A 25,945-nucleotide genomic window follows, 5' to 3' on the forward strand; every position below is an offset into this window, starting at 1 on the left:
ATCGGGTCAAAGCTCCTGACTGGCCTGACGGTGGCATGCCCAGCTGGGAGCTTGGAGTGTGCCGAGTAGCCCAGCCCAGGCCTGCGTGCTCCCTCATGGAGCTGGGGGTGAGGGGCAAGGTGGGTAGGGTCGTCTTCACCCAGAGCAGAAATGCTGCGAGTGGGTGGGGTAGTGCCCCAGGAGAAGGTTGGGTGCAGTTACCAGGAGAAGGGTGAATGGGTGCTGTGTGGCAAGAAGAGCAGGCGTCTGCCACGCTGAGGACTTCAGGCCTGAGACATGGCCAGCATGCAGGACAGAGGTTGGCCTGGAAGTCCTCTGGCTAGGAGTAGCCCCAGCTGGTGTGACTGATTCAGGTGGACGGCACAGGTGAAGGCGAGGCCACGTGGAGGTGGCTCCTCATTGGGGGCAGGACGCCTTCCTGTTGTGAGTCAGGTGCCGTTTTCTCTGTCCGTGTTCAGGCCGGAAGAACTCCCGCACAATGCTGCTCCCACTCCTGCGGAGGTTCCCAGAGCAGGTCCGAGTCTCCCTCTTTCACACGCCGCACCTCCGTGGGCTGCTTCGGCTCCTCATCCCTGAGCGCTTCAACGAGACCATCGGCCTCCAGCACATTAAGGTGTACCTCTTCGACAACAGCGTCATCTTGAGCGGGTGAGTGCTTCCCACCGTCAGTGCTTTTGCCCTCCTGCTCTGCAGGCTGGAGGGCAGTGGAATAGGAACAGTGGGAAACCCGTTCCCCTCAGTCTTGGAGAACCTGCTTGTAGGTCTGGCTGCTGTGCACCCGCGGCACCTCCCCGACACTGTCTCTGCCACTGAGGCTAGAATTCCCCGGGGGCTGACTGGAAGCCACTGTTGACAGGGCACTTAGTCTGTGCTGGCCACTCAGGTATGTTGTCTGTTTCCACCCTCAGTGACCCTCTGTAGTATTTTCCTCACTGTGTACATGTGGAAACAGATCAGAGAGGATGAGTCACTTTGTCAGGTAGACAGAGCCAGAAAAATAAACAAGAGTCAGACCTGGAAGTCCAGGTCCTTAGGCTGATAAATATGGGCCCTTTCACAGGCCCTCCCCTCGGCAGTGGGGCCAGGATTGGGTTGCTGGTGCTGAGAGAAAGCCCTTGATTGCATCCTTGCTCTGGGACTGTACCAGTGGCAGCTGTCACTTAGTGGGACAGAGAGAACAAACAAACATGGGCGCTGATAAATAGCCCTGCATGGGCCGGGCGCAGTGGCTCACGCCTGTAATCCCACATTTTGGGAGGCTGAGGCAGAGGGATCACCTGACGTTAGAAGTTCAAGACCAGCCTGGACAACATGGTGAAGCCCCGTCTCTACTAAAAATACAAAAATTAGCTGGGTGTGGTGGCACACACCTGTAATCCCAGCTACTCGGGAGGCTGAGGCAGGAGGATCACTTGAACCTGGGAGGCGGAGGCTGCAGGGAGCCAAGATCATGCCACTGCACTCCAGCCTGGGCGACAGAATGAGATTGTCTCAAAAAAAAAAAAAGCCCTGTGTGGTTAGTTGACTTTCTGTGTCTGCATCTCCTCTTCTCAGCTACACTGTCGGCTCCTTGAGAGGAGGAGGCTGTGGGTCACTTTGCTGTGTCACCTTGGATCAACTCTGGCTTTGTCTTTTGCACGTGTTCATTGCTGAGTAGCTATTTGTTAACTGCATCTTGACCTGAGTTTGTCACCCCCCTGCTAGTTCACCTGAGACCTGGGTCACCAGGACACGCTGCTGCATACCCTTGCCTGAGTCCTCCTCACCTGCATCTTCCCTCCCTGTAGTGCAAACCTGAGTGACTCCTACTTCACCAACCGCCAGGACCGCTACGTGTTCCTGCAGGACTGTGCGGAGATTGCCGACTTCTTCACGGAGCTGGTGGACGCGGTGGGGGATGTGTCCCTGCAGCTGCAGGGGGACGACACGGTGCAGGTGGTGGATGGGATGGTGCATCCTTACAAAGGTAGGGGCTGCCGCTGACACCCTTCTATGGCTGTGGGTGGGGTGGAGTGAGGGCCCGGGAGAGCACAACTCTAGGTGGTTCTGCCACAGGCATAGGGGACTTGGGTGGCAAGGCTTCATTCTGCTTTTGTCCTTGAAGCCAGACAGATGTGACTCACTGACCATCAGTCATGCTCTGTGGGTGAGAGAGCCAGCCCAGAAAGGTGGGAGCTTGGGCTTGGGACTCCTACTCCTTGAGGCGGAGTCACTCAGGTTTGCACTACAGGGAGGGAAGACGCAGGTGAGGAGGACTCAGGCAAGGGTATGCAGCAGCGTGTCCTAGTGACCCAGGTCTCAGGTGAACTAGCAGGGGGGTGACAAACTCAGGTCAGGACGCAGTTAACAAATAGCTACTCAGCAATGAACACGTGTGCCTGGGCGAGTGACCCAGAAGCCTGCCCTGCATCACAGGAAGCAACCAGGCCAGCAGCTGTTCGCCTAGGGCCCATTTCCCCAAGCCTATCACCTGGGCCTGTGGCTCCCAGCTCCCTTGAGCTCTGTGGCCCCCTGCCTGGAAAATGAAGTGGAAGAGCTCTCAGCTCTGCCCACTGGAACCAGGCAGGTTCTGGCGTGAGTGTTCTGGGGCATTTGCATTCCTGTGATTCCTGCGGCTGTGGCTCCCCCATGGCCTTTAGAGAGCTGCTGCTGGATTTGCAGCAGTGTCTGAACTTGGGGAGGAGGAGCTGAAGTTGGAACTTGTTGGGAGAAGAGCTCTCTGCGTCTTGTGGACCTAGAATGGAAGCATTTCAGTGGGCCGTCTGGTGGAAGCCCTGTCCTTGTGTCAGGGGAGCCCTGGGCCTCAGACCCCGACCGTGATGGTGTGATGCTCTGCCTGCCGCCATGCACTGTTCCTACTGTTGTATTTTGAATTTCATCTGTAAAGAGCTTGTGGAGCTCTGTATCTCTCTTGCTGAGTGCCTACCTAGCATCCTCAGCTTTGCCTTTTGGCCCAGAAAGCCTAAAATATTTACCATCTGACCCTTAAAGAAAATGTGTGTGGATCCCTGGTCTAATGTAACGGGCCAGGCATGGATATGAGAGAAAACAGGCCATGCTTAGGCCAGGATGAGAGCCAGCACGCTCCGAGCAGGAGCGGGGAGACTCGAGCCCAGCTGTGCTTGGGAGAATGAGTCCACAGAGAGGCTCAGGGTGTGCGCAGGGCCCCCCGGTGCTCCTCCCTCCGGCAGCCCTGTCCAGCATGTGGCAGTGTGACTCCTTTCTCCCCTGGAGGGTGTTGGCATCAACAGGCTAGACTCCTGCATGGGATGGTCCTTCTCTTTGTTCTGTAGCCCAGCCCTGAAAGGCACTGAGTGTCTGTTCCTGCCCCCAGCTCAGACCATGCAAGCCAGCAAGGATGACCTGGGACAGCCCTCCTTCCCTGTTTCACTTCCCTGATCAGCCTTGCCAAAGCCTTGTTGTTTTATCAATCGTTTATCAGACAATCAACTTTGGACAGTTGATATTCTCCATTTTTGTATCATTTTCATTCTAGTAATTTCTATTCATATATATATATATATATATATATATATATACACACACACACACACATATGTATGTATATATTTTTGAGATGGAGTTTTTGCTCTCGTCACCCAGGCTGGAGTGTGGTGGCACGATCTCAGCTCACTGCAACCTCTGCCTCCGAGGTTCAAGTGATTCTCCAGCCTCAGCTGCCCGAGTAGCTGGGGTTACAGGCACACAACACCACACCTGGCTAATGTTTGTACTCTTGGTAGAGACAGGGTTTCACCATGTTGGTCAGGCTGGTCTCAAACTCCTGGCCTCAGGTGATCTGCCCGCTCCTGCCTCCGTAAGTGCTGTGCTGGGATTATAGGCGTGAGCCACTGTGCCCGGCCTGTTCTTATTTTTATTTTTTGCTTCCCTATACTGTATTCTTGGTTTTATTCTGTTGTTTCTTTCCCCTGTCTTCCTGAGTTGGATGCTTAACTCATTAATTTTCAGCTTTGTCTTGTCTGATAATAGCATCTTTCCCTTCAGTGTGTCTGCATGGTCACCTGTCACCAGTGTCTTGTCCGAATACAAAAGGCACCCCATGCAGAGCCTGAGCCTGCCCGTTCTTCCTCTCTCTCAGGCACTGTCACTGCTGTGGGAAGCTTTCCCACATGGTGATGTGCTTATCCAAGGTGATGGCTTGCCCTGTGACCCCATCTGTGGAATACGCATGCTCCTTTTTTGGTTATACTTGCATGTCTTTATTTGACTGAGCTTCCTTATTGAAGTAGAACATGCACCCCGAGCACCAGTCGCAGGTGTACAGCCATGAACCTGCTGCTAGTGGACCTGCTTCCTGGAGGCCCCCCGTATGTCCCCCCCAAGGAATTATCCCAAAGGTAACCACTATCCTGATTTCTCTCCCTGTCAGTTTGTCTTGCCTGGTTTTGAGCTTGTTTGTAATTGGAATGATACGTCGACATGCCTTTCACTTCTGCCTGAGTGTGGGCTACTGTGGACCAGGCCCTTGTCTTGGGCAAACTATATCCCCAGAGGAGCCTCGCTCTGGGCTTGGGGTCCTGGGCCCACTCAGCGAGTGTTCAGTGAACATCCAGTTGTAGCGTCTGCACTTGCCTATCACATGCCCTGTCCCCTGAGCTGGGCAGAGTCCAGACCCTCCATTTCTCTTCCCTTCACTCTTCTTTCACGTCTTCCCCAGGGGACCGGGCCGAGTACTGCAAGGCAGCCAATAAGAGGGTCATGGATGTGATCAACTCAGCCAGGACCCGCCAGCAGATGCTGCATGCCCAGACCTTCCACAGCAACTCTCTTTTGACCCAGGAAGATGCAGCAGCTGCTGGGGATCGCAGACCAGCCCCTGACACCTGGATTTATCCGCTGATTCAGATGAAGCCCTTCGAGATTCAAATCGATGAGATTGTCACTGAGACCCTGTTGACTGAGGCGGAGCGCGGGGCAAAGGTCTACCTCACCACTGGCTATTTCAACCTGACCCAGGCCTACATGGACCTGGTCTTGGGCACTCGGGCTGAGTACCAGATCCTGCTGGCCTCACCAGAGGTGAATGGCTTCTTTGGGGCCAAGGGGGTGGCCGGCGCCATCCCAGCGGCCTATGTGCACATCGAGCGACAGTTCTTCAGTGAGGTGTGCAGCCTGGGACAGCAGGAGCGGGTCCAGCTTCAGGAGTACTGGCGGAGGGGCTGGACGTTCCACGCCAAAGGTGCGCAGCGGCTGGCTGGAGGACGTTCCAGTGTGGGACAGCCACAAACATGGGCAGGGGGTGGGGAGCCCTGGCGCCTACCTGTTAGAGTGCTGTACTTCTCCCTTCCTACCTTCCCAGCAGCCCTTGCAGGCACATCATAGCTGTCCCATGACTTGGGGAGAGGCGAGCATTCATCTCCTCAAGGGAATTTTTTTTTTTTTTTTTTTTTTGTGACAGTCTTGCTCTGTTTCCCAGGCTGGACTGCAGTAGCATGATCTCAGTTCACCGCAACCTCCACTTCCCGGTTCAAGCAGTCCTCCCACCGTAGCCTCCTGAGTAGCTGGGACTACAGGCGCGTGCCACCATGTCTGGCTAATTTTTGTATTTTTGTAGAGATGGGATTTTACCATGTTGCCCAGGCTGGTTTTGAACTCCGGAGCTCAAGTGGTCTGCCTGCCTTGCCTCCCAAGAAGTGAATTTCAGTTGTGTAAAATCCGTCTCTTTTATGCATCAAAGACTGTATATGGTCACATTATTTGGTGGCTGTGGTAAAGATGTGGTGACATAACCTCTCCTAAGAGATGGAGAGGAACATGCCTTAGCTGTGAGATGGAATGTCACTCTTGTCGCTCAGGCTGGAGTGCAATGGTGCGATCTTGGCTCACCGCAACCTCCTCCTCCTGGGTTCAAGCGATTCTCCTGCCTCAGCCTTCCGAGTAGATGGGATTACAGGCCTGTACCACCACGCCTGACTAATTTTTTATTTTTAGTAGAGATTGGGTTTCTCCATGTTGGTCAGGCTGGCCTTGAACTCCTGACTTGAGGTGATCCACCTGCCTTGGCCTCCCAAAGTGCTGGGATTACAGGTGTGAGCCACCACGCCCGGCCCTTAGCCTTGTGTTGATTGTCAGAGTTCCTGCTTGTTGGCAACTTTTTTTTTTTTTGAGACAGAGTCTTGCTCTGTTGCCCAGGCTGGAGTGCAGTGGCACGATCTCAGCTCACTGCTACCTCTGCCTCCCGGGTTCAAATGATTCTTGTGCCTCAGCCTCCCTAGTAGCTGAGATTACAGGCATGCACCATTACGCCTGGCTAATTTTTGTATTTTTAGTAGAGATGGGGTTCCACCATGTTGGCCAGGCTGGTCTCGAATGCCTGACCTTGTGAGCCACTTGTCTCAGCCTTCCACAGTGCTGGGATTACAGGCGTGAGCCACTGCGCCCGGCTGGCAATGCCTTTCTCAGGGAGAAAGAAGATTCATTAGGGATCATTTGTTTTGGCATCAGCAGCCCAGTTTTCTTGTCTTTTCCTCACTATTGCTATTGTTTTTTTCCCTATATGCCAATGTCTGCCTTTTTTCCCCATAGCTGAGGAAATGGAGGCTCTGTGCACAGTCTTGCTGGTGGGGGTGGTAGGAAGAGGGTCACACTCTGCAATGCATGTTTATCCCTCTCAGGCATCTGGCGGAGCAGCCGAAATGGGGCAGAATCCCAGGGGCAGCTCTCTAAGACATGGGTATAACATGCTGGAAACCCTGTGCTTAGCAGTGGGCTTACTGCATGGCCTCTTAATGCTGGGAGGGTGCCCGCCTCTAGCAGCGGGACCATGACTCCTTTCTGACGCTGGGGACCCCCAATCCTGGAGCTAGTCTGTCTAGAGAAGGGGAAATGGTGCCTGGAGGCCCCTGTGCCATGAGTACATCCCACGGCTTTTCTGGCTTCTCCCTGGGCAGTCCAGAGGCCTGTTTTGCTCCTTCTCTTGTCCTGGTTCTAGTGGCTTTCGGAAGAGCTGAGTGAGTGGGGGGCCTCCATGGATGGGGAATCTAGGCTGTGGACTGCAGTAGGCACACAGCTGTGTTGTTGAGACTCGAGGCATCTTCCGGTGCTCAGGTGGTTTGTTTTTGTTTTTGTTTTCTTTAAACCAATGTTTTTCAATTGGGGGATGCGTTGTAAGAAATACTGAAGCCGGCCAGGCGCGGTGGCTCACGCCTGTAATCCCAGCACTTTAGGAGGCTGAGGCAGGCAGATCATGAGGTCAGGAGATCCAGACCATTCTGGCTAACACGGTGAAACCCTGTTTCTACTAAAAAAATACAAAAAATTAGCGGGGCGTGGTGGCGGGCGCCTGTAGTCCCAGCCACTTGGGAGGCTGAGGCAGGAGAATGGCGTGAACCCGGGAGGTGGAGCTTGCAGTGAGCTGAGATCGTGCCACTGCATTCCAGCCTGGGCAACAGAGCGAGACTCTGTCTCAAAAAAAGAAAAAAAAAACTGAAGCCCAGGTTCCCCTAGACTTTCATCCACCTCTGTGGGGATTGAACCCACCATGGTGTTTAAAAAACGCCCCTAGGAGATTCTGATGCCTAGCCTAGCCTTAAGAACCACTGTCCCAGCTTGGAATGGGAAGCTTCTGGCATGTCCAGGGCATCCCACGTGCTGCTTTGAGGCCCACAGGCCTGTCTAGGCAGGTGGCATTGTTTGGTGTGGGAAGTGACTGCCACACTGTCCTGCAGGACCCATCCTGGCATGTGTTGTGGCTGAACCAGGCTGGTGGTCAGTGTCTCAGGGCAGGTGGCCCCAGCCCGTGGCGGGTGTGGAAAGTATTTTTGGATTGGCGTTACTTCTGGGAATAACAGCAGTACCCAGGGATGGGGTATTGAAAGAGTTGGCCAGTGGGGCAGCTTTGACCTTTGGGGAGGCCTCAGACCCACACTGTCGTGTGCTGGAGAGGTGCAGAGGAGTGGCTAGGCGTCGCTCTCCTCAACTGCACTGTGCTGGAACGATGAGGAGGCCCCTTAACTCAGCCTGGAGGGTGGGAGGCTCCTGGCCTGTGGCTTCTGACTCTGCCACGGGTTATTTCCCTGAAGTGGCTTTGATAAACGTGAGCTGACTCCCCAGTTACCGCTGAAACAGAAACACCCAACCTGCTTTTCTGGGGCGTCTTGCCTTTTCCCGGACTGATGTGCTTCTGCCACTCCCTCTCTCCTGCCCTGGTGTGGGTGGTGTTGGGTCGGGGCGGGGGGTGCCCTGCAACCCAGGAGTGCTGGATGAGTGGGAAATTGGGGATGATCTTACAGCTGGATCCCAGGGCACGTGCCCATGTGGGGGATGGGATTGGGGGAGAGTTGGCAGAGGTGGGTGAGGGATGGATGGTGTGTGGAGGGGGCTGCTGCTGAGCAGAGGGGCTTCACCCTAAAGCCAGGAACCAGAGGTCAGAGGTCACTTGATGCTGAAGTGAGAGGCGAGGGTCCTTCCCTGCTCAGTGGTTGTGTCCCCAGTGGGATCTTAAGTCAGCACCTCTTCAGGCCCATCTTTTGATGGTCACTTCCTCCAGGGCAGCGTGTGTCAGGTGAGAGATGAGTGGGCAGCCGCAGGGTGCTTGTGGATTTCGATGGCTGGCCCAGTGGACCATTCATTTCCTGACTGTCTGCCCTTTGCAAGGCACTTGCTGGGTACAGGCTCTGTGCCTCCTTGGGTGTGTCTGTGTTTGGGCCCCAGAAAATTCCTGCCGGTGGCTATGCACTGATACCTCCACTCCCTTACTCAGGTCCTGTAGGACAGGCCTGGGCTGATCTCAGCTCCTCCTGCTCCCAGAAGCCCTTGGGCAGAGACAGGTAGCCAGGACTCTGTGGATTCTAGATCCTTGCCCCTCAGACAGCACTCTGCTGTCAGCACAGCACTCTCTGGGAGCCAGGCAACAAGAGGCTTCACGGAGTGACTGTGTTGAACTTGCTGGTGGCCCCATGAGTGTGGTGATGCAAGGAAGAGCAGCGTGGGGGGAAGAGGCACCTTCTCATGTAAAATGACCCCGTGGCTCAGCAGCTGCCAGTGGATTTCAGTGCAGTCTGGTGACAGAAAATTCAGAGGGCTGGCCTTTATTCTTAAGGGTTTTCTGTGTTGTCAAGTATTGCCAGGACTGTCTGGCAGTTGCTTAGATGCCTTGTTGGAAAGATTCTTGTGTGATAACCATTTGCCGATCGTTCAACAGCCTGATACACCTCTTTTGCATACTATGCTGATTTCTTAACATATTTTATCTATCAATCAGTCAATCAGTCTATCATGTATCTCTATCACATTTCAATAAATTGAGCTGTTTCAAAGAACCAGAGGAACACTCAACTATTTAAAGGCATGCACTAGAGACTTCTTTTGCAATATGGTTTATCTATTTCATTCTTATTTGGATTTTTGTAAAGGGTGCCTATTCAGAATACTCAGGAGAAGCCATGCAAGTGTGATTTGGCATAGGGATTACTAGACTTGAAGTCTAGAAGCCTGGTTCTGAGTCCACATTTACCTGTGGCCACAGCTGAGGGGCCTGGCTTAACCTCTTTCCTGTGCAGTCGGGGGGATGGCTCTAGATTGTCAGGAGGACACGGGGAACAGGGCTGATATTTGACTTTCTATAAAATAACCGTATGGTTCCTAGGCCAGGTGAGGCACCTTGGTGGGGCGCGTGGAGGTTGAAATCACACTGGGGGCCGAGGGCTGCTGCGCGTCCCTGAGCGAATAGATTGGCAGAAGGGAGTGGGGTGGGGGCCTTGGATCCCTTGGTGCCGTGTCTCTGGCCTTGCTCCCTGTAGTTCTGTTGCGCTGATTCGGTCGTGAAGGAAGGTGCTGCCAGGCCGCTTCACCTGCATCGCCTTGGCTTTGGGAGGTGGGGCTGAGTGGGCATCTGGGTTGGATCTCAGGCAGGTGGCAGTTCCTCTGATTCATGGTTGTCAGTTTCCTGTTGCCTGGCCCTCGCTCCTCGCCCAGTAGGTGTGGTGGGACAAGGTTCTGGGAGCTGGGGTAGAATTTGGACTCTTAACGGGAAGTGCCTCGTGCTGCCGCAGACACATCTGGATGGGTGCTGAGCTTTCCTTCCCAAGCCTGGTCCTGATCGGGGGTGGGGTACAGGCAGGAGCAGCCCGGCCTTGTCAGCCGTTGAAAGTGTGGTATCTGCTGGGTTGCCAGTAAGCTCGCTTCGAGGTCTTGAGAGGCAGTGCAGGGGAGGCTGAGTATGAACCGTGTCAAGCCAGTTCTTATGTCTCTCTTCATCTTTCTGCTCCATGGAGGTGAGGGACAGAGTGAGTGGTGCCCATCCCATTATCACATTCAGGCAGGAACCATGCTGTGCTGAGCCAGGCTGTGTCCATCTGCTGGGACATGGGCTCTGCCCTCCGGCGTGCATTTCATGAGGAAGATCAGAAAGTGAGTTTTAGCATGTTGACTTCCATTTCTTCTGGACGCAGTATTCTAGCACTAACAACACAATGTGGGTGGCTAGGGCGGAGCAGGTGTTGGATTAAGAGATTTCTGGCTCATGCTGACAGGGAAATCTGTTAATGGTTGTGAGAATGTCACTATTTTTATTGCCTTCCTGATAGGCCAATTGGCGTTCTGCCCAAAGGTGAACTGATGGTGAGAGGCGGGCAGCCCCACCCTGTTTGCCTAGGCCACACGTGAGGCGGCTCTCCCCTGGGCACCCAGTGGGTGTGGTAGGGGTGCTGTGCCCGTGCAAATTGCTTGCTTCAGGCTGAGCACACACACCAGCCTGTGGGCCCTTACAGTTTCTCAGAGCTGTACTAATGTCAGAGCAGGTGAGTGCTTATCCTGTAAGGATAAGCCTGTGATGTCTTCTGTCCCCTCCGTGTTTTTACTGGAGTCTGAGAACCCTGTAAGATTTATTGCAGAATACTGTGGGAGTGCTTGAGGGAGGAGTATGTGTTCATGCATGTACTCTTAAAATGTTCATACACTTCTGCCTTAGAACTGCAAAGGCCTGGCGTGGTGGCTCACACCTATAATCCCAGCACTTTGGGAGGCCAAGGTAGGCGGATCACCTGAGGCCAGAAGTTTGAGACCAATCTGGCCAACATAGTGAAACTGTGTCTCTACTAAAAATACAAAAATTAGCCGGGTGTGGTGGTGCATGTCTGTAATCCCGGCTACTCGGGAGGTTGAGGCATGAGAATCACTTGAACCTGGGAGACGGAGGTTGCAGTGAGCTGAGCTCGTGCCACTGTACCCCAGTGTGGGTGAGACTCCGTCTCAAAAACAAAACAAAACAAAACAAAACAGAAAAACAAAATAGGCCAGGTGCAGTTGTGACTTACGCCTGTAATCCCAGCACTTTGGGAGGCAGAGGCGGGTGGATCACCTGAGGTCAGGAGTTTGAGACCCAGCCTGGCCAACATGGTGAAACCCCGTCTCTACTAAAAATACAAAAATTAGCTGGGCATGGTTACAGCCGCCTGTAATCTCAGCTACTCAGGAGGCTGAGGTGGGAGAATCGCTTGAACCCAGGAGCCGGAGGTTGCAGTGAGCCAAGATCGCGCCATTGCATTCCAGCCTGGGTGACAAGACGAAACTCTGTCTCAAAATAAAATAAAACAAAACCAAAACTTCAGAGCTTTTTTTTTTTTTTTTTTTTTTTTTTTTTGGGACGGAGTCTTGCTCTGTCACCCAGGCTGGAATGCAGTGGCGTGGTCTTGGCTCACTGCAACCTCCGCCTCCTGGGTTTAAGCCATTCTTCTGCTTCAGCCTCCCCAGTAGCTGGGATTACAGGCACGCACCAGAATGCCCAGCTAGTTTTTGTATTTTTAGTAGAGATGGGGTTTCACCATGATGGCCAGGCTGGTTTTGAACTCCTGACCTTGTGATCTGCCCGCCTTGGCCCCCCAAAGTCCTGGGATTACGGGGTTGAGCCACTGCGCCTGGCCGTCAGAGCTTTTTTTACACTTAATTTGACCTTTTTTGGGAGAGACATTATTACTCTCAGTTTGTTTATTTCATTCAAACAGATATCTAACAAATACCAGCTGTGTCCCAGGCATCATTCGGGACATTGGGAATGGGTCACTGGGTACCAGACAGACTAACTCCCTGCCCTCCTAAGGCTTATACTTTGATGGAAAGCAGATAATAAGCAGATGCGTCTCTACAAATATCGGAACGAGCTACGAAGAGCAGAGCAAGAGAAGGCTCCAGGCTGCTGCAGGATCTGTTACAAGGGGGCTCAGGGAGGGCCTCGCTGAGGAGTAGACACTCGGGCAGTTGGCCTGAGTGAAGAGGGAGCATCCATGCCACCGTCTGGGGCCGGAGTTTCCTGGCAGAGGGGAGAGAAATGAGGAGCCTCCTCGACCACATGGGGCTTGCAGAACAGCAGGGGCACTGGGAGTGGTGGGCACTGAGATTGGAGGGTGGGCAGGGCCTATTGGAAAGGGCCCAGAAGCCATGGCACGCTGCCATGGAGGCCAGGAGTGCCGAGGCCTGGATCAGCCTTCCGCAGGGCAGTATGACTGTGCAGAAGAGCAGGGGCAGGCGTCCTTTCTGAAGAGGAGGCCCAGAGCTGGGAGGCAGCAGCAGTCCCAACTCCAGGTCCTCCTCTGGTGTCCCCGCGACACTTGATTTATAGTGAGTGAGTGTGGAGTAGCAGCCGCCTCTGCTTCCCCTGCACCCTGCCCTCTCTGGCACCCAGGGCTGCAGTATTTATCTCTGCCCCATGAACTGCCAGCAGTCAGTCCCTTCCCAAAAGCACTTGGTCCGCAGAGGGCTGCTTCCTCCCTCCCCAGGCTATCGTTCCTGCTGCACGTCTCCCTCATCTGATGGTTCCTGGAATAGTAAAGATGTCAGGCCCAAAGGTCAGGCCCTGGGATGAAGAGTCGGGCGTGATAACCAGTTTACAGCCTTGGACTGGGAAACAGATTTCCCGACAGCGAGTCCCAGGCCTGATAGTCTTAGCCCTGTGTATACACAGCCTGACATCCTGACTGGTGGTGCGGGTCTGACCGGAGCTCCAGACCGCTCAGGCCTAGAGCGAGGGAGATGAAACAGAACTAAAGGGCTCCTGCTTTTTTTTTTTTTTTTTTTTTTTTTTTTGAGATAGGGTTTCTCTCTGTTGCCCAGGCTGGAGTGCAGTGGGGGTAATCTTAGCTCACTGCAGGCTTGACCTCTGTAAGGGCTTTTAGATTCCCCTTCTCCCGTTGGAAACTTCCCAGTTGTCCTCAGGGCACAGACCAATGGCTAAAACTGACTTGTGAGCTGAAATCTTGAAAAACCATTGTTCCCAGCTGCCCTGGCCTGTGGGGCATGCTGGGGTGTGGGCATCTCACAGCAGCACCCCGTGGCATCTCTGGACCTGGCAGGTGCTTGACTCATGCTGTCTACTTAGGGCTCCCCAGAGGGCATCAGACTGGCCTGTGGTCGTTATTTTCTTTCTGATGGAGAAAGATTGCAGTGCAAATAATTCTGGCGGGGAAGTTGTTGGGCAGTCTCAGGTATGTTGAAAACGTGAGCTACCTCTCAAATCCTGAGCACTCACCTGCTGAAAAACCCTTATTCTTTCTATATGGGAAACATAGATAGACATAGAGACTGTCTACAGATACGTATACAGTCTATCTTGGGGTCAGGAATGAGCAATAGATGGAGAAGCGGTTGTGCGTATGATGAAGTTGTGCACTGGAGGTGGCCTGTCTGCCTCAGCGCTGGCCTCTAGGTGGCCTCATAAAGAACCGAGCCAGTGCTTAGGTGGATTTGGCAAATAAAAAGCATGTGTAGAACCACGCACCTCCAGCCTTCCCCACCAGATTCTGTGGTCTAGGAGCTGTGGGGTGGACACCGAGTCATGGTGGCGTGACACAGAGCAGCCTGACCCTCGTCACCCATGTGGGCGTGTGGCCTTCCTACTCATCACTGTCAGTCTTCCCTCAGTGGGCTCAGGAGATCCAGCTGGACAAGCCACACTGAACAGACCCACTGTTTTAAGAGGCTGATCTTGTCATCAGAAAAGTTGGAATGAGCAATGGCAGGTGGGAGGAAGCTCCTGTCTCAGGTCTGAGGCTGGCGGACGCCTGCCTTGCACCTTGTCTTGCCAGCTCCATGCTCTGGGGAAGAGGGGGTGGGAGGGGGGCTCTGTGTACGAGGGGCCATGAGTGCTGTTCGGCTTGGACCAACCTGGGCAGCGTGAGCCATCTGGATCAGAGCCACCAGGGGAAGGGGGCAGCCTGCCCACACCTGTGGTCCTGTGAACGGCCTGCACGGCCAGTGGCCCAGCGGAGCGGTACTGTTTATGGCACAATGCACACAGGCCAGCAAGTGGCTTTGATGTGGCCCTTGGAGGGGTGGAGACGAGCCCATTACAGGAACAGGCGTAGGGCCTCGTCACCTCTTACCCAAGATGTTCTTGGAAATGCTCTTGCTCTGAGTGAAGATTAGGAAACCGTCTTCTATTTTAGGAGCCTGGTGTATGTTACATACTGTGTTGACTCGCCCATGACAGTTGTGTGGGTCCTTTGAAAGGGGTGTGTCAGTGGGGGAGAACTTGACACCCCATGGGGAGGGGCAACTCGGGGATGCTGGGATGAGTGCAGGGCACCCCAGAGGAGCCCGTGGCCACCTGCTTGCCCTCACTCACAGCTGCTCACACCACTTAAACTTGATCACACCTGCTTGCTCTTGCCCACAGCCACTCGCTCTTGCTCACACCTGCTCCCCCTCCCTCACACCTGCTCACTCTCATTACCTTCTCACCCCCACTCACACCTGCTCACACTGACATCAGGCAGGAAGCATTCTTGGTGCTGGTGAAGGGCAGCACGGAGAGAAGTCTTGAGCTCAGGCCGAGCCTGGGTGCCCTGTGGGAGGAAGGGCGTCTCAGGCAGCACGTGTCCTTGGGATGCTAGGTCTTGGTAACAGTCTTTTTAGAAGTAGTTCTGATGGGTGCTGGGCTGCGGGAGTCGGCCCTGGACCTCGGGAAGTTGTGGAACGGGGCGCAAAACTGTGCTTGTCATCTCAGGTAACACGTCAGTATTCTGAGGACGCCTGTGGCCTTGTTACAGAAATGGCCTCGTAGTGTGGCCCCCCCTGCCACACAGTGGCACCCCGTGCCCTGCTTTTTCTCCAACTGTGATACTGACTGGCTCATTTCCCAGCAAAAAGGGGGATATTGTTCTCTGGGTGTGACAGAAACTTACAGGGCCCTTTAGCTTTCTCCTCCATTGTCTTTTCCAGCCAGGAAGTCCCTGGGCCCTGTGGGCAGTGATGGCAGAGGTCCCAGGCCTGGACCCCCTTTGTCCTCACAGGGTTTTGGTGCATCAGCAACTTGAAATAGGGAGGCTGGGTCAGGGAGACTCACTACATGTTCCTCAGTCAGAAGGGCACAGACGGCCTACCCAGGACCTGTAAGGCAGCCAGCCTTCAAGGCAGACCTGTTCTTACCAGCCACTTTTGCCACCCCGCGTGACAACCCCACATCTGCTGGCTTGGGTCGCGTGGTTGTCCTTCACCATCTGCCGTGTTGCGCGCTGAGGTGGCTGCTTCTGAGAAGCACGCGTGAGCTGATTCTCAGTGCTCACAGGAAGGGATGGCCAGTGCAGGCTCTGAGCTTAGCAGGCAGGGTCAGCAGGTCTGGATGTGCAGAGGCAGTTCAGAGTGGGGTTCGAGGCCCTGAGCTCTCTGGGGAGAGGCTCAGTGGGCAGCTGGGCAGGGGTGTATGAGAGCAGGTCGGCAGGTGGCGTCACCATGTTCCCTCTGGGAAAGCCTGCTTCTCGTCCTGCTTGGGACACAAGGCCACAGTGTGAATGGTGAAAGCAAAGACCAGCAGTTGAGCTGAGGCTGCGCCCTGATCCTGGGTCCCTGCTTCCTGCCGCGCCGGGGTGGGGGTGGAAGAGTGAGTCCTGGTGTGGCCTGTCCGCCGCTCTGCAGCAGCCCCTCGTGTCCAGGCACCCAGGGCAGGCCGCCTTTCTCTTAGATTGCAGCAGCGTGTGGAGAGGACTTTGGTAGATGCTGTGCTCATTTCCTGTCTGCACGTTTCCTTTTCCCCGCAGGCCTCTGGCTGTACCTGGCAGGGAGCAGCCTGCCCTGTCTCACGCTGATTGGCTCTCCTAATTTTGGGTACAGGTCAGTTCACCGGGACCTGGAGGCCCAGATTGCGATCGTGACGGAGAACCAGGCCCTGCAGCAGCAGCTTCACCAGGTTGGTCGCAGCAAGTGGGATTTCCCAGGGCGCTGAGGGTGTGGCTGGGGGCCCAGGCTCACCCGTGCTGTGGGGCTGCCCTGAGAGCTGTTTCCTGAGGCAACGAGTGAGACTCAGAGCAGAGCAAGAAAGACTCTGGGTCTCCAAGAGTGCAGTGATGGGTGGCTGAGCCTTGGAAGATCATGCCTGTGACTTCCCAGACGCGTTGCACCCCACGTCCTGGGGACTTTTTCTTTCTCTGCACTAGGGGAGACCACCATTTTCTCCCTGGGACCTTTTCCTTTTAAGACAAAGGGTCAACTGTTAAAGGTTCGGCATTGGGGCTGGGTGTGGTGGCTCATGCCTGTAATCCCAGCACTTTGGGAGGTCGAGGCAGGTGGGTCGCCTGAGGTCAGGAGTTCAAGACCAGCCTGGCCAACATGGTGAAACCCCACCTTTACTAAAAATGCAAGAAAGTAGCCGGGCATGGTGGCGGGTGCCTGTAATCCCAGCTACTCGGGAGGCTGAGGCAGGAGAATCGCTTGAACCTAGGAAGCAGAGGTTGCAGTGAGCCAAGATCGTGCCATTGCACTCCAGCCTGGGCAACAAGAGCGAAACTCTGTCTCAAAAAATAAAAGGGTTCAACAGTGGTTTCGGCCCTCGTTTGATAATAGTAGCCCATTTTCTCTTTGAGGGAGATAAAAGAAGGTTACCAGGAGTTGGTGAATGCTTCGGGATGACCCTCTATTTGATGACCTGTGACAGTGTGGTTAGACTTTTGAAATGGGAGCGTGTTACCCTTTTGTCTGAGACCTCGATGGTGCCTTGGGCTCATGAATTCGTGACCTTTGCAATAACACTTTTCCATGGAAGGCACCAACTTCCCTTTTCCATTCCTGGAGATGCAGATAACACTGCCGCAGGCCAGAGCCCAGAGGCATCGGACGGTAACTTTGTGAAGCTTTTATGCTCCAGGGTTTGGGAATAACTGTTGCAAAATTGTCAGAGCCTTTGTTGATGGACGAGGAAATGGTCACTGATGTGTTCCCTGGGATCTGTCCTCCTGCAGCCTGGGAATCTTGTCAGTGACTGATTGATTGGGGCCTTGGTGCCAGGAAAGGCTTCACGACCACGACAGGCGCAAGAGGAAGTGAAGCGGTCATCCTCTGGGTGGGCCAGTGGGGTAATGGGTTTGCTCAGGTTTCTTCCTACAGTGAGGTTTACAGCAAATGACTGAGGAAGCCCCCACAAGCTGAGAGATTCCAGTAATAGGGTGACAAGCTGGCCTTGGAGCCAGGCTAGTGGGAAAGACCTGAGCCTGCAGCTTTCAACAGCGGGCTTTCCTGGACTTCTACTTCAATTGCAGAGAGCCGTTCGCAGAGACTTCCACTGTAGCTCTGTGCCAGGGCGGTAGAGAGTCCTTGGTGACTTTGGCCAGGGGCCAGGATGGGTTCTGCGTGGATCTGAGTTGCTTGGGGGAGCAAGTCCTCCAGGCCTGTGCCTGGGGTCCTGGTACTGACCGTCCTCCCCCACTGCCCTAGTAAGGGCACTGAACCCACATCCTGGATCTTGAGAAAAGCTGGGGCCGCCTGTGGTTAGCAGCTGCTTTCTCAAATGACATATTTGGGATATTTTCTTTTTCTTCCCAAACCTGAATCTCAGGGGCTTTTGCCTGTGGGAGGGTGGAGGGTGGTAGGTCTGCTACTGTAGCTCTTCCATTCTTTAGGGATAGACTGATTTCTCTGCCTGTGAAACGCAGAAATATGTTTCCAGATAATTCCACCTATGCTTATATACTGGGACGGCAGCTGCTCTCCTGAGCCCTACAGTGCCCGGTCCCTAGAGGCCAAATCCTGCTGGGACTGCCCAGCCTCTAGCCTCCCCACAACCCAGAAAGTCCCTAAAGCCCCAGCCACCGTGGGCTCCCTGCTCTCTGAAGCTGTCTCTGGAGATCTGCTTGGGAATTCAGGGAGGGGCCCTCCTATTCATGTCACATTGGGCACTGGGAATGGGGAGATATTTTTATCAGAATCTGAAGCCCCTCCCTCCACTTAGTACATACAATAAACACTGAAAGCTTCCTGGTTTTGTTCAGGGAACACAGTTTACCACTTGTGACCCAAGAAAGACTCCCTCGAACAGCGTCGTAACCTCGTCAGCTGACTTCCTTCTCCATCCCTGTTGTGGAGTCTGTGAGGAAACCTAAGTGTTTCTGGTAATTTAGTTGCAATCTTGGCCGGGTATTCATTTGAAGACACAAAGCTGGAGCCAGGTCTGTGGAGACTCCTGCAAACCAGCCCCCTGAGACCAGAGCTGGCTCTTCCATCAGGCACGTCCAGCCAGGGATTGGGACCTCAGCAGCAATTAGGAGGCCCCATGTCTGTGACACGCGGGGCTGCGGGGCTGCTCAGTTGGGAGTGTGGCATGGACCCACGATGGGGCCCACTGAGCATGGGACGGGGGCAGGGGGTAATGAAGTCGGGGCCTGGCTTTCCCCAGCTCTTGATGGGAAAAGCCAAGGCCACATTCTGTAGGGTTCTGGAGTGTGGGGTGACCCCTTCCTGACCCCCCGGGGCAGAGGAGTTGCCAGGGCTGTGTCCTCCCTCCCGGCCTCCTGAGCAGGGAGTGTGCCACTTTGAGTGGCACAGGCCACCGCTGCTGCTGTCCTGCGGTTGGCACTGTGCTTCTGTGGTCATCACCTGTGGTCCTCACGGCGGTGTGGATGTAGGTATGGCCCGGACATTACGGTGGAGAGCGCTGGAGACTCAGTGGAGGAGAGAGGGCTAGAGTCGCGGTGCAACTGTGTGAGCGCTGCCAGGCGCCCCACTGAGGACACTGAGGAGAGAGCACTTGGAGGGCAGACTCTTACAAGAGAAGCTTTTCAAAGATCCCAAACACCATTTCGGACAAAGCATATATAAATTTTTTTTTTTTTTTTTTTTTAATGGAGTCTTGTTCTGTCGCCCAGGCTGGAGTGCAGTGGCACGATCTCGGCTCACTGTAACCTCTGCCTCCCGGGTTCAAGCGATTCTCCTGCCTCAGCCTCCTGAGTAGCTGGGATTATGGGTGCATGCCATCACGCCCGGCTAATGTTTGTATTTTTGGTAGAGATGGGGTTTAATCACGTTGGCCAGGCTGGTCTCGAACTCCTGACCTCAAGTGATCCTCCCACCTTGGCCTCCCAAAGTGCTGGGATTACAGGTGTGAGCCACCGCGCCCGGCCGCATATATAAATGTTTTTAAACCTGTTTTTAAATATGAAATTAACATGTGTTCACTATAAAAATTAAGAAAAACGGAAAGAAACTAACCCTTTCTGTAGGGAAAACCACTGAAGCCATTGTGATGATTGGCCGCCTGCCTTCTGTGTACAGCGCACGGAGGCACAGCTTTAAGCATCAGATGACGATTCTGTCGTGTGTGTGTATTTCGTGTCCAGCTTCCTTTGCCTGCCGATTTCTGGGCACTTTCCCATATGATTAGGTCAACACTCTTCTCATGGCGAAAACTGGTTTGTCATATGAGTTGTTAATAAGTTCGTGGTGAATGCTGGTTTGTCATATGAGTTGTTAATAAGTTGACTGTTGGACATTTAGGTGGTTTCCAGTTTTTCCTTGTTATAAATATTGTGATAAATATCTGTATATAAAAATCTTAGCGCATAGTGATTTTCTTGGGGTAAGCTCTTGCAAAGGGAGCTTTATAAGGTTCTTGATACCTGTTGCCAGAGCTCACTCTAGAGGATGACTTGTCCCCCTTGCCCTCAGCACTAAGCGTTCATCAGTGTGGGGGATAATGACATCACAGATGTCATTGGCACAAATTGGCTTTGTGCCAATTTGATAGAAGAAAAACTGTGTCTCATTTAAAAAATACCTCATTTTAATATGCATTACCTCGTTTAGTGAGGGTGAACATTTAAAATATTTTTTCCACCAGTTATATTTCTTCAACTCTAAATTGAAGAAATTTAGAGTCCTTTACATGTCTTGGTCTTAAAAGCCTTTTGGGTTTTTTTTTTGAGACAAGGTCTCACTTTGCCACCCAGGCTGGATTGCAGTGGCAGCATCACAGCTCATGCAGCTTTGACCTCCCGGGCTGAAACCCTTGCCTACCTCAGCCTCCCAAGTTGCTGGGGCTACAGGCACACACCACCATACCCGGCTAATTTTTAGAATTTTTTCATAGAGATGATGTCTTCCCTGTGTTGCCCAGGGTGGCCTCAGACTCCTGAGCTCAAGCGATCCTCCTGTCTCAGCCTCCAAAAGTGTTGGGATTATAGGCTTTAGCCACTGTGCCCAGCCCTTAAAAGTCTTTAGGAACACGGCTTCTTAGCTTTTCTAAGGAATGTTTGACAGTGGCAACTTGTAGGGCCTGGCCTTGCCTGCCACCAGAGCACCCTGGGAATCTCTGGGCCAGGTAGACATGGGAAGTCAGGGTTTTCTGGGCTGGCCTGAGGGGCTGGGCTGGGGCCAGCCGGCCATGTGGTGTGGTGCTGGAGGGGACTCCTCACTATTCCTGTCTGTTCCTCTTCCTCAGGAGCAAGAGCAGCTCTACCTGAGGTCAGGTGTGGTGTCCTCTGCCACCTTCGAGCAGCCGAGTCGCCAGGTGAAGCTGTGGGTGAAGATGGTGACTCCACTGATCAAGAACTTCTTCTGAGGACAGACAGGTGCTGTCTCTAGCATCACCTCTCAGCACGATTTTCCCGAGAGTTCACAGGTGGGGCAGGTGGTTGTTCTGACTCAACCAGAGCTTCCAGAGGGCTCTTTGATCCCTTTCTCAGTTAAACACAGAGCAGCATCTTCAGGGGTATGGCAGCTGTCCTCAAAGTTAGAAGCTGGATGCTAAATTAGGCAGTCTGTTCACTTTCCATCTGGTACCCACTCCACTAAGTCCCAAGGCGCCTGTGCTGGGGTCGGCAGTGGCAGCCTGTAGTCCCCTTCTGCTCTCCCTTCCCAGGGGGTCCTGAAGAAGCCCTGGGGCAAGGGCTCAGGGATGAGGGGGCAGAAAGGCAGATTGAGCCCCTCCAAGCTGAGCACACTGGTGCAGGAGATGTAGACGTGGGAGGAGGGGAGCACGTTTGCTCGTGAGAGTGGCTCTGGCTTGCTGCCCTGGCCGGCTGTAGTGCACAGGGTGGGGCGTCGGTAGAGCCAGACCGTGGGCTGCTGCCTGGACGCCTCGCTGACATCCCTGTGCTGCGGTTACAGAGCTGCGCCCTTCTAGACTCTGGAAGTTGAGTAACAGGACCTGCTCTGCCCACCCAGGAGGGGCCTGCCGCTTCACCAGAGGCACCAGTGGGGTCCCACAGTCACCTGAGGTACCCCTGGACTGTCTTGACGCCTAGAGGTCCGGGCAGGGGGTGGCTGCCATTAAAGGTGGGGTCTTTGCTGAGTGACCTTTTGTGTCCTGGATCCCTCAGGGCCTGGACTGCACTCCGGGTGGGGTCAGGCTCCCGAGGCCCCTGCTCTCTGGTTCTGGATGTTGTGGGTAGTTCTGTTGCTTTGGATGGCTGGGCCTTTGGATGGTGGCTTGTGGGGAAGGGACGGTGAGGAGTCAAAGATGAGCCAGGACCCATGTGGCCGGCACATGCGCTAGTGCCGGCATCTCATGTGTGCAGCGTGGGCTCCCTTAGTGCCTGGCACCTTAGTGCTCTGCTAAGTCTCATTGTTTAAAAATGTGTAGTTTATCTGCAGCTTTTCCTAGTTATTTTAATTACTTTTCATTTTATTTGAATAGTGTGTGCAAATGTAGAGAGTAAAACAATACTGCGGCCATTTCCTGCCCTCCCTTCCCCCAGGCAGCCACTCTTGGCTTGTTTCTTCTGATGTGCACACGTGTCCGTATTTCTAAATAACGTGCATATCCTGCTGTCTTCCCCCAAAATGTGTACTTAACCAAAACAGCACCAGTGTCACTCCTGAAACAAAAATTACCAAGAATGTCTTAGTATCATCAAATACCTAAATGGTGTTCACAATTCCACTTGCCTTAAAATTAATTTTTTCGATTATTTGACTTGAAGTCCAATTAAGGACTACACCTTGTGATTGTTTTTTCCCTAGCAATTTATTTTTTGAAGAATGAACTTTATTTTTATTGGATCTACTTAAAACATTTTTGTGTCACCTAGTAGCAGGGGATTTTGAATACATGTCATGTGTGTTTATAAAGCCAGCTCTCCATATCCCCCAGTGTCTCCAGGAGCTGCTTTTGTGACCTCACTGCCTGATCTCTTTATCATCTTCAGGTGCTTGACCCTTGCACAGAGAGAAGCTTCCTGGGCTACAGGGCATGGCAGCCTGTCCTTTCGGGGAGTGAGATTAGATTTAGTCCCTGCACTTTGCCTCTCTAGAAGCAGCTTCTCGCCTTTCCCTCCCGAGGGCTGGCAGGAGTCACTGTCACCCTTCATGGGGTCTGAAAGGTTGCATAGGCTCACCTGGTCTTAGACAAGGACAGTTGCAGCTTCCGCACCAGGCAGACCTGCAGTTTGAGTGGCTGGGGATAGGTGGAGCGGCGGCCTGGCCACAGTGCCCTGGACAGCAGCACATCACATCAGTTAACACTGTTTGCCTTCCAACTAGTTATTACGGTGTCCTGTGGGACAATTAGACTGGAGGAGCCAAAGGAATGTGCAGGGGCACTGGGTTTCTGTTTGGAGAGAGGCTCTCGGTAAACAGAGTTCGCATTCCTCCAGATTCTGTGGGACCAGAGTAAATATCATTATGCCACAGCCAGGCTTAAGCAATCTATCTGCAGTGCCGTTCCCGCAGCGCACACTGCTCCCTCTGTCTCTGCTGATGACCTTCGAGGCTGTCCTAGGCAGGTTCTCCCTGAGGAGCTCCCCACACCAAGCCTCCCTAACTCTGCAAAGCAGCCGGAGCAACAGAGAGCAGCGGGCGGCGGGCGGCGGCCGCCGCAGTCCTCCCGGCTTTCTAGGTGCGCGGGGCTGTCGTGTTCCAGTCCCTGTGTTCCCCGTCGCTGGAGTGCAGCTTAAGTGCGAATCATTTCTTGGAAAGTTTAGAGATAATTTTGTCAACTACCCACAATATGTATGTGTGGACTAGATTACTTTCTTATTTCAGGATCTAAAGGCAAAATGGAAAAACGTCACATTTTGTGGTTATTACCAGGGACTGAAGTGAGTTGCCCGGTGGCCCCTGGTGGCTTTAGCTCCCCTGGTCACCTGAAGGGCTGCAGTGACCCCTCCTGGCCAGCAGAGGTATTGGCCCAGCCAGGCTGGGGGAGGCTGAAACTGCTTCCCTTCTCTGCAGCCACAAAGGGCTGGATTCCTTGGGCGCCAGGAGGGGAGGATTTTTCTTTTCCCTCCGATAGCCCTACTGGGCGCTAAGATTGTTGTGAATCATTACCCTCAGAATTTGGACTTTCTAGATGCTTCTTAACCCATGATTTAGGTGAGTAAACTTGGAAAAATGTTTTTGCAAAACTTGATGATCAAGCTGAACGTAGAACGATATTCCTAATGGGTGTGTTTGCCTTTTTTCCCCCTTTTGAGACAGGGTCTCACTCTGTCACCCAGGCTGGAGTGAGTGGCATGATCATGCCTCGCTGCGTACTTGACCTCATGGGCTCAAGCGACCCTCCTGCCTCAGCCTCCTGAGTAGCTGGGACCACAGGCACATACAACATTCCCAGCTAATTTTTTGTATTTTTGATTGATAGAGATGGTTTTGCCACGTTGCCCAGGCTGGTCTTAAACTCCTGGGCTCAAGTAAGATTGCCGTCCTGGGATTAGAGGCGTGAGCTGCTGCAGCGGCCTGCTTTTCTTTGAAGCCTGAGAAATGTTGAGGGCCGGGCACAGTGGTTGACACCTGTAATCCTGGCGCTTTGGGAGGCCGAGGTTGGTGAATCACCTGAGGTTAGAAGTTTGAGACCAGCCTGGCCAACATGGTGAAACCCCATCTCTACTAAAAATAAAAAAATTAGCTGCGTGTGGTGGTGGGTGCCTGTAACCCCAGCTACTTGGGAGGTTGAGGCAGGAGAATCGCTTGAGCCCAGGAGGTGGAGGTTGCAACGTGAGCCGAGATTGCGTCATTGCACTCCAGCCTGGGCGACAAGAGTGAAACTCTCACTCTCCCTCGAAAAAAAAAAAAAATGTTGATCCTGTCTTGGTCCCCCTGGGATCCGTCTTTTCTGACGTTTGCCGCTGTCTCCCCTCATCCCCCAGGTTGCTAGTTAATTCTCTCCCCTCGTGCCTGCACCCTGCTGCCCTAGCTAGCCTGGCCACCTCACTGCCGTGTCCTGCATCAGCCCAGCCACAGAGTCCTACAGGTCCGGGGCTTGCTTGTGGGAACGGCTTGTTCTTCTAGACTCTGGGGGCGGGGGCTTGGGTGTGTTTCCTTACTTGTAAAAGGTCCTGTTGTTTTTGGGAGCAGGGAGTAATGGCGGATGAGACGCTGTGTGGAGGCGGCAGCTCCTGGTATGGGGTAACGCCCTGTCCCCTCATTGGCAGGTGGTTTGCATGAAGCATCAGGCCAGAGGGTGTGAGTGCCAAGCCCTCACCCCACATGCTGCTCCTGTTAAAAGCAAACTCCACTGACCCCCCCGGGAAGTCAGGATTTGGGATTTACTTCCTGGAATGCTTGCCTCTGGCTGCTGGGAATTGGGGCCTTTCCCCAAAGCCTGAACCAGGCCTCACAGTGGCCATCAGGCACAGAATGGATGGGCACAGCTGAGTGGCTCCACTGGCTTTAATCTGCCCCACCTCTTCCACACCAACCTCCACCCTCTGGTTCCGATGTGCTTGGTTACAAAGCACCTGATTATTTAAGAGAACGAAAAACCACCACCAGTTCCTGTAAAGAATAAGTCACAGGTGCACAGGTGAAGGGCTGAGTTGTGGTCCAGCCCCAGGGAGTGTGGGCTGTGAGGCAGGAGCGAGCTAAACCTGTAGGAGCAGCGCCACGGCTGCCAGGATCCACTTCGCTGCCTTCTCTTTGGTCTTCAAGTTAAAGGTCCAGACATAGGTGGGGCCGCGGATGCGTGTTTTGTACACGGGACACTCATAGATGTTCTTGGTCTCCATGCGGTCCACAGGAATGGCCTTGATGAAGATGACAGGCATGGCCGGGGTCAGCTCTTTCAGCCGCGCTTCAGCGATGACTCCAGTCTGGGTGTCCCAGCGAGCCCCTGCAGGGACAGTATGGCTGAGGGTCAGGTGTGCTGCCAGTAAGTGAGGGAGGGGCTGGCAGGAAGGGTGGGGTCCTCACACTCCCCGCCCTCTGCAGAGCTGGGCTCTACCCCAAAAGGCTTCAGGCCAGCTGCCACGGCTGGAAGCAGAGGCCTTCGTAGGTGATGGCCTGCATGTTGTAACTACCCCGTCCCGCTGGGCTCAAGGAACAGCTCAGCTAAAGCCCTCGGGTTCCATCCGTTTAAATCTGTGGCATTTTCAGAGCCTCATCTGTCAGCCTTAATGTCAGTGGCAGGAAGTCATAACTCCAGCTAAAAATTACAGAGTAAAGTTCCCTGATTCTTAATGTGTAATGTCTGCCCTATGTGTACATACACAATATAATTATACATCTGTGCATATAAATATTGCCTTTAACCAGACTGCTATTATTTCTACTCGCCCTATTTAATGGTGTTTTTATTTCCTGTCTGAAATCTCAAAATAAACAAACATGGAGAGCTTATCTTTGGTTGTGTGGGAAATGGGGTGCCTGAGCCGTTGCTGGCCCAACCCTGCCACCCCACAGGTAATGGGGTGACGTCAGCTGTTGAAGGGGACAGGTATGTGGTGGTGGCATTGCTGCTCAACTCAGAGGCGGGCTGAGAAGATGGCCGGCCTCGGTGTCCTGGCTGACCTCT

The 25,945-nt window shown here is 53.6% G+C and overlaps 2 protein-coding genes and 1 non-coding gene across 26 annotated transcripts in view, besides 8 other annotated features; 2 read left to right on the top strand and 1 right to left on the bottom strand.

Moving 5' to 3' along the window:
• PGS1 (phosphatidylglycerophosphate synthase 1) overlaps positions 1–25,770 on the top strand; it is a 46,011-nt gene extending 20,241 nt beyond the window's left edge. For 5 of the 22 annotated variants that reach the window (XM_017025357.2, XM_047437101.1, XM_017025361.3 and 2 more), the window contains 5 exons: positions 459–648; positions 1,788–1,966; positions 4,679–5,200; positions 15,990–16,138; positions 20,657–25,770. In XM_017025357.2, the coding sequence (XP_016880846.1) occupies positions 459–648; positions 1,788–1,966; positions 4,679–5,200; positions 15,990–16,138; positions 20,657–20,776 (1,160 nt within the window). In that variant the 3' untranslated portion in view covers positions 20,777–25,770. The remainder of the gene's footprint in view (positions 1–458; positions 649–1,787; positions 1,967–4,678; positions 5,201–15,989; positions 16,139–20,656) is intronic. The other 17 variants (XR_934604.3, NR_110602.2, XM_011525487.3 and 14 more) reach the window with 13 other exon arrangements.
• On the top strand, positions 1,046–1,174 carry LOC124900399 (small nucleolar RNA SNORA30/SNORA37 family). The gene has a single exon (XR_007065992.1). It is a non-coding gene; the product is annotated as a small nucleolar RNA SNORA30/SNORA37 family (small nucleolar RNA).
• Positions 1,639–2,144: an enhancer, noted in NCBI's record as "H3K4me1 hESC enhancer chr17:76396609-76397114 (GRCh37/hg19 assembly coordinates)". NCBI's record gives its function as "activates a minimal SCP1, AML or CMV promoter by ChIP-STARR-seq in naive H9 embryonic stem cells {active_cell/tissue: H9 hESC(naive)}" and the evidence as "EXISTENCE:reporter gene assay evidence [ECO:0000049][PMID:30033119]".
• Positions 11,819–12,364: an enhancer, noted in NCBI's record as "H3K27ac-H3K4me1 hESC enhancer chr17:76406789-76407334 (GRCh37/hg19 assembly coordinates)". NCBI's record gives its function as "activates a minimal SCP1, AML or CMV promoter by ChIP-STARR-seq in naive H9 embryonic stem cells {active_cell/tissue: H9 hESC(naive)}" and the evidence as "EXISTENCE:reporter gene assay evidence [ECO:0000049][PMID:30033119]".
• Positions 12,365–12,908: an enhancer, noted in NCBI's record as "H3K27ac-H3K4me1 hESC enhancer chr17:76407335-76407878 (GRCh37/hg19 assembly coordinates)". NCBI's record gives its function as "activates a minimal SCP1, AML or CMV promoter by ChIP-STARR-seq in naive and primed H9 embryonic stem cells {active_cell/tissue: H9 hESC(naive and primed)}" and the evidence as "EXISTENCE:reporter gene assay evidence [ECO:0000049][PMID:30033119]".
• Positions 16,195–16,244: an enhancer, noted in NCBI's record as "active region_12895". NCBI's record gives its function as "activates an Ori minimal core promoter by ATAC-STARR-seq in GM12878 lymphoblastoid cells {active_cell/tissue: GM12878}" and the evidence as "EXISTENCE:reporter gene assay evidence [ECO:0000049][PMID:35858748]".
• Positions 16,859–17,153: a silencer, noted in NCBI's record as "tiled region #14012; K562 Repressive non-DNase unmatched - State 14:Gen5'". NCBI's record gives its function as "represses a minimal TATA promoter and a strong SV40 promoter by Sharpr-MPRA in K562 cells {active_cell/tissue: K562}" and the evidence as "EXISTENCE:reporter gene assay evidence [ECO:0000049][PMID:27701403]".
• Positions 18,685–19,193: an enhancer, noted in NCBI's record as "H3K4me1 hESC enhancer chr17:76413655-76414163 (GRCh37/hg19 assembly coordinates)". NCBI's record gives its function as "activates a minimal SCP1, AML or CMV promoter by ChIP-STARR-seq in primed H9 embryonic stem cells {active_cell/tissue: H9 hESC(primed)}" and the evidence as "EXISTENCE:reporter gene assay evidence [ECO:0000049][PMID:30033119]".
• Positions 20,703–21,387: an enhancer, noted in NCBI's record as "H3K4me1 hESC enhancer chr17:76415673-76416357 (GRCh37/hg19 assembly coordinates)". NCBI's record gives its function as "activates a minimal SCP1, AML or CMV promoter by ChIP-STARR-seq in naive and primed H9 embryonic stem cells {active_cell/tissue: H9 hESC(naive and primed)}" and the evidence as "EXISTENCE:reporter gene assay evidence [ECO:0000049][PMID:30033119]".
• Positions 23,661–24,240: an enhancer, noted in NCBI's record as "H3K27ac-H3K4me1 hESC enhancer chr17:76418631-76419210 (GRCh37/hg19 assembly coordinates)". NCBI's record gives its function as "activates a minimal SCP1, AML or CMV promoter by ChIP-STARR-seq in naive H9 embryonic stem cells {active_cell/tissue: H9 hESC(naive)}" and the evidence as "EXISTENCE:reporter gene assay evidence [ECO:0000049][PMID:30033119]".
• The window catches only part of DNAH17 (dynein axonemal heavy chain 17), a 153,700-nt gene continuing 152,562 nt past the window's right edge, over positions 24,808–25,945 (bottom strand). For all 3 annotated transcript variants that reach the window (XM_024451013.2, NM_173628.4, XM_011525416.3), the window contains one exon: positions 24,808–25,264. In XM_024451013.2, the coding sequence (XP_024306781.1) occupies positions 25,017–25,264 (248 nt within the window). In that variant the 3' untranslated portion in view covers positions 24,808–25,016. The remainder of the gene's footprint in view (positions 25,265–25,945) is intronic.

This window comes from Homo sapiens, chromosome 17, assembly GCF_000001405.40.
Source record: "Homo sapiens chromosome 17, GRCh38.p14 Primary Assembly".
Taxonomy (NCBI): Eukaryota; Metazoa; Chordata; class Mammalia; order Primates; family Hominidae; genus Homo; species Homo sapiens.